Raw genomic sequence first — 6,851 nt, forward strand, 5'->3', positions numbered from 1 at the left:
TGCGTCGCTCACGCTGGGAGGTGTAGACTGGAGCTGTTCCTATTCGGCCATCTTGGCTCCACCCAGTTTTTAATATTTAACTTCACCACTGAGTCAGAACTGAAACAGTTGGTACGGAGGCCTGTGTTAGTGAGACTTTGGCTTGCCACAAAACCACCCTAATTGAAGAAATGAAAATCTGATGTCCAAGTAAGTAATGAAGCCAATTTGAATAAAGTTATTTATGTGATTGCAAATTTTAAAAAGAACCTACGAACGAATACTTAAAAAAAAATTTAAGGTAGTGCTGTGCTTTGAATATGTCCTTCAAAGTTCATGTGTTGGATACTCAATTGCTGTTGTAACAATGTTGAGAGTTAGGACCTTTCAGAACAGATTAGGTCATGAGGGCTCTGCCCTCATGAATGGATTAATGCTGTTATTGTGAGACTGTGTTAGTTATCATGGCAGTGGGCTCCTGATAAAAGGCTAAGTCCAAACCCCATTTTCTCTTTGTCTCACACACTCTATCACCATGTGACACCTTCAATGTACCCTGCCAGATACTGGTGCCATGCTCTTGAGACTTCCCAGCCGCCAGAACAGTGAGCCAAATAAAATTGTCTTCTTTATAAATTGCCTAGCCTGTGCATTCTGTTATAGCAGTAGAAAACAGACTATGGCAGGTAGGTAGACATATTACCCAAAGAGAAACACATCTGAAAAATATACACCAATCTTTTTACATTGAATATGTATGCATCACAGTGATGGGATCATATAGATGGAAGATGTAGAATGATTTCATCTTCTAAATATACATTTATAATGTTTAGTATTTTTTAATTAGGAAAATTTCTTGAGAGAAACACTTGAAAATATGTAACAGCAAATTAACAAGAAAACACATAAATATTTTTATTTTAAGAAGCGTTCATGCTATGCTGTTTTTTTTTAAAAGAAAGATTATAATAACTCTTGACTTGAGAGTTACCCCTATCTGTGTAGGTGTGTGATTTGTATATTACAGTTCCATCATTTAGAATGTTCAAACTCTCAATGTGCAGACTTATCTTCTGCTCTCTCAGGGGTTGGATGTCCTCTCTCAGGGCATAGAGACACAATAAGGGATTGCTGTTAAGGGATGGACAATTATAGAAATTTCTGGTTGATGCACTGCATATCAGTCCCTTTTATCACTCCCTTCCCCTTGCAAGCTGATCTGTCCTGAGACTTTTGGGGTTATAAGTCTGACTCTGACAAACAAATAGCATCTTTGTACATTCAATACTTTAAAAGGAAAAGGTGTGATTCTTTTTTTCTACTCCCATTCCAGTGGCCACTAAATTATCTTTCCTATTTCCTTTATACTTTCCATGTCTGTCTCTAATATGCCCTCTCTGAGATGGACTGCACTTTTTTTTTCTGTCATTCAGTTATTTTCAGATATTTTTGATAACTTTGTCCTTCCTTAAGAATATGTGATGCGCAAGAGTTTATTAAAACTATGTGTGGTGAAATCATGCCCATCCAGTAGAGCTCAGTTCTAATGCTGGCAATTTCATGTAGCATCTGAATGAACCCTGACAAGCTTCTACAACTCATTAAGTCTCAGCAACCTAAGACAGGCCAAGAAGCTGGTAATTCTGCCTACCAGAATCCCGTTATGAGGAACACATGGAGGAAGAAAATGTAATGTAATGCAGCAAGCACAGAGCATGGCATGCAGCAGGCCCTCAGAGTTCCCCCATGTCCGTAGCTACGAGTACCTGGGTTCCGGGTCTCCCGACTATAGTTAGCTTGCTCTGCAGGGGTGACTCAATTGGAAACAGCTCCCTGGGTGTTGGTGGCAAACTCAGGGGGCACTAAGAACAGGAAGTAGAGTCTCTTCTGGCTCCCAGGGCTCTCCTCACTATGCCCTTCGGGAAAGGACTTATTTTGAAAACTCCACCTTGCTCACGTGAGCCTGACAAAATGGTCTGAGGCCTACTCTTGCCTCGTTTGACAGATCCCCTCAATTTTCTCTGAACCCCAGCTCCAGATCTCACAGATTCTCCTCACAAACACCATGTGAAGACAGTGGTGACAGGTCACTACCCACATGCCACACCATGGGTGAATTGGTCAGTGCCAATCCTTGGCCTCAGGATCTCACAGGGCATGAAGGGTTCTGGGCCCCCTCTCCCACTCCAACCCCCAGGACACCCAGCAGACTCACTTTCAGTTAGAGCTGGTAGGTGGCAAGGGCCCAGGCTGAGTGTTTTCCATTGTCCTGAGGATGAGGGCAAAGTGAACCCTGAGATACCTGTCTTAGTCCATTTTGTGCTGTTATAAGAGAACACTCAACACTGGGTGTGTTAGTCTGTTCTCACACTGCTGTAAAAATACTGCCTGAGACTCGGTAATTTATAAACAGAAAAGGTTCAATTGACTCACAGTTCCACATGGCTGGGGAGGGCTCAGGAAACTTACAATCATGGGAGAAGGCGAAGGGGAAGCAAGGCTTGTCTTTCATGATGGCAGGCGAGAGAGAGAGCGAGGAAGCGCCACACTTTAAAACCATCAGCTCTCGCGGGAACTCCATCACTATCGTGAGAACAGCACGGGGAAAACCGCCCCCATGATCCAGTCACCTCCCACCAGGTCCCTCCCTCCACACGTGAGGATTACAATTCAACATGAGACTTGGGTGGGGACACAGAGCCAAACTGTATCACTGGGTGGTTTATAAAGAACAGCAATTTGTATCTTACAGTTCTGGAGGCTGGGAAGTGCAAGGTGGGGGGGCTTGCATCTGATGAGAGCCTTCTTGCTGTGTCATCCAATGGCAGAAGGTGGGAGGGCTAGAGTGCACAAGAGAGAGAAAGCAAGAGATCAAACTCATAGACTCAAGCCCTTTTATAATTGGTATTAATCCATTCCTCAAGGTGCAACCCTCATATGACCTAAACACCTCCCATTAGGAGGGAGGGTTGCACTGGGGATTAAGTTTCCAACACATGCTTTTTTGGGGACACATTCAAACCAACCATTGCATCCTGCCCCTGGCCCCCCAAATTTATGTCCTTCTCACATGCAAAATACATTAATTCCATCCCAGTAGCCCCAAAGTCTTAACTCACTCCAGCACCCAAAGTCCAGAGTCTCATCTAAATTAGAGATGGGTGAGACTCAAGGCAGGATCCAGACTGAGGAAAATTTCCTCTAGCTCTGAGTCTGTGAAATCAAAACAAGTTGTCTATTCCCAAAATACAGTGGCGGGACAGGCGTAGGATAGACATTCTCATTCCAAGAGGGAGAGACAGGCAACAGAAAAGGCATAACTGATCCTAAGAAAGTCCAAAACCCATCAGAGCAAACAACATTAAATTTTGAGGCTTGAGAATAATGTTCAAGTTCTGCCTTCTGAGGCAGGGATTGGGCCCCCAGATTCTCAGGCAGCCATGCCTCTATGGCTTTGCTAGGCTCAGTCCACCCAGCAGCTCTCACAGGTTGGAGTCTTGTTCCTCCAGCTCTCCCAGGGTATCATTAAATGCCAGTAGCTCTGAAATTCTGGAATCTTAGTAGCAGTCCAGCTCCCACACCTCTACTAGACATTACCCGAATTGGGACTCTCTGCAACTGACTTGTTCCCACAGCCCCATCAGGTACTGGCCTGATGGGGACTCTCTCTGGCAGCTCTGCCCCTGTGGCAGGTCTCTACATGGGTCCTCAGGCTGTCTGCAACATTCTGCGAAATCTAGGTGGAGGCCGTCACAGACCCATAGCTCGTGAATGCTGTGCACCTGCAGAATCAGCACCATTTGGATGCCGCCAAGGTCCACCGCTTGAGCCTTCCAGACCGGCAGCCTGTTCAGCACCCGGCCCCCCTTGAACTATGGCTGGGACAGCCGAGGAGTGCTGCACGAAGGTGCGGGCAGCAGACACTTAAAAGCATCACGGGGCAGCAGATGTTGAGGTCCCGTGGGCGTCTCTCTGGAAACTTTGCCTTCGCATTGTGCACTGGGCATGTGACTGGAGGAGCAGCCTGGAAAACTCTGAAATGCCGTCAGGGCCTTTCTCCAGTGGTCTTTGTCTTACTGAATAGCACCTGTTTCCCTTCTAGCCATGGTAATCTCATTAGCAAAGTGGTCACTTGGCCATGTCTGTAGTTTGCACTCCTAAACACGCTTTTTCATTCTTTACATGGCTAGGGTGAAATTTTTCAACATATTTACCTTCTTCCTATCTTTTAATTGACAAATTCCATCTTTAAAGCATTTCTCTCTTCTCTCATTTTTGTCTAAGTGGCCGAACAAAGTCACGCAGTACCTTGAATGTTTTGCTGTTTAGTTATTTTTACTGCCAGATATCCTAGTTCATTACCCTGAAGTTCTTTTAATTTTTTTCATTTTTCCATTTTTGTGGGTACATAGTAGGTGTATATATTTATGGGGTATATGAGATATGTTGGAACAGGCATGCGGTGTGTACTAATCACATCACATCCCCTCAAGCATTTGTCATGTGTGTTACAAACAATCTGTATCCTCTTAGGTACTTTAAAATGTACAATTCAACTATTACTGACTTTAGGCAGCATGCTGTGATATCCCACCTTATTCATTCTTTCTGTATTTTTTTGCATCCATTAACCATCCCCACCTACCCCCTGCCTCCACACTACCCTTCCCAGCCTCTGGTAACCATCCTTCTACTCTCTATGTCCACGAGATCAATCGTTTTGATTCTCAGGTCCTACAAATCAGTGAGAACATGCGATGTTTGTCTATCTGTGCCTGGCTTATTTCACTCAACATAAAGATCTCCAATTCTATCCACGTTGTTGCAGATGACTGGATCTCATTCTTTTTACGACTGAATAGTACTCCATTGGGTATATGTAGCACATTTTCTTTATCCACTCATCTGTTGATGGACACTTAGGTTGCTTCCACATGTTGCTATTGTAAACAGTGCTGCAACAAACAGGAGTGCAGATATCTCTTCCATATGCTGATTTCCTTTCTTTTGGGTATATACTTGGCAGTTGGATTGGTGGATCATGTGGTAGCTCAAATTTTAGTTTTCTGAGGAACCTGCAGAGTGTTCTCCATAATCGTTGTACTAATTTCATTCCCACCAACAGTGTACGAGGGTTCCCTTTTCTCCACACCCTCATCAGCATTTGTTATTGCCTGTCTTTTGGATATAAGCCATTTTAACTGGGGTGAGAAGATATCTCATTGTGGCTCTAAAGATCAGTGATATTGAGCACCTCTTCATCTGCCTGTTTGCCATTTGTACGTCTTCTTTTGAGAAATGTGTATTCAAATCTTTTGCCCATTCTCTAACCGGATTATTAGATTTTCTCCAATAGAGTTGTTTGAGCTCCTTGTATATTTTACTGGTTATTAATCCCTTCTCAGATGGGTAGCTTGCAAATATTTTTTCCCATTTTGTGGGTTGTGTCTTCACTTTAGTGGTTGTTTCCTTTGCTGTGCAGAAGCTTTTTAACTAGTCATGCATGATCCCATTTGTCCATTTTTGCTTTGGATGCCAGTGCTTCTCGGGTATTACTCGAGAAATTTTTGCCCAGAACAGTATCCTGGAGCGTTTCCCCGGTGTTTTCTTGTAGAAGTTTCATAGGCTGACATCTCAGATTTACGTCTTTAATCCATTCTGATTTGATTTTTATATAAGATGAGAGATAAGGGTCAAGTTTCATTCTTCTCCATAGGGATACCCAGTTTTCCCAGCACCAGCGCCATTTATTGAAGAGACTGTCCTTTTTCCAGTGTATGTTCTTGGCACCTTTGTCAAAAATGAGTTCACTGTAGGTGTGTGGATTTGTTCCTGGGTTGCCTATTCTGTCCCATTGGTCTATGGGTCTGTTTTAATGTCAGTACCTTGCTGATTTGGTTACTATAGCTCTGTAGTATAATTTGAAGTCAGGTAATGTGATTCCTCCAGTGTTGTTCGTTTTTGCTCAGGATAGCTTTGGCTATTCTGGGCCTTTTGTGGTACTATATGCATTTTAGGATTGCTTTTCCTATTTCTGTAAAGAATGTCACTGGTGTTTTTGTAGGGATTGCATCAAATCTGTGGATTGCTTTGGGTATGATGGACATTTAAACAATATTGATTCTTCCAACGCATGAACATGGAATAACTTTCCATTATTGTGTCCTCTTCGATTTATTTCATGAATGTCTTCCAGTTTTCATTGTGGAGATCTTTCACTTCTTTGGTTAATTCCGAGGTATTTAATTTTATTTGTGTCTACTGTAAGTGAGATTAATTTTGATTTCTTTTTCAGGGTGTTCACTATTGGCATATATAAATGCTAGTGATTTTTGTAGGTTGATTTTGTATCCTGCAACTTTACTAAATTGGTTGATCAGTTCTAATAGTTTTCTGGTGGAGTCTTAAGGTTTTTCTAAATATAAGATCGTATCATCAGCAAACAAAGGTAATTTGGCTTCTTCCTTTCCAGTGTGGATGCTCTTTACTTCTTTCTCTTACCTGATTGCTTGAGCAAAGACTTCCCGTACTATGTTGAATAACAGTGGTGAATGTGGGCATCCTTGTCATGTTCCAGATCTTAGAGGAAAGGCTTTCACTTTTTCCCCATTCAGTATGATACTAGCTGTCAGTCTGTTGTATATGACTTTTATTATGTTGAGGTATGTTCCTTCCATACCCAGTTTGTTGAGGAATTTTATCAGGAAGGAATGTTGGATTTTTATCAAATGCTTTTTCAGCATCAGTTGAAATAATCATATGGTTTTTATCTTTCATTCTGTTGATGTGATGTGTCACATTGATTGAGTTGCATATGTTGAACCATCCTCGCATCCCAGGGATAAATCCCACTTGGTCATGATGAACGA

The sequence above is a fragment of the Homo sapiens genome, chromosome X (genome assembly GCF_000001405.40).
Source record: "Homo sapiens chromosome X, GRCh38.p14 Primary Assembly".
In the NCBI taxonomy this organism is placed as follows: domain Eukaryota; kingdom Metazoa; phylum Chordata; class Mammalia; order Primates; family Hominidae; genus Homo; species Homo sapiens.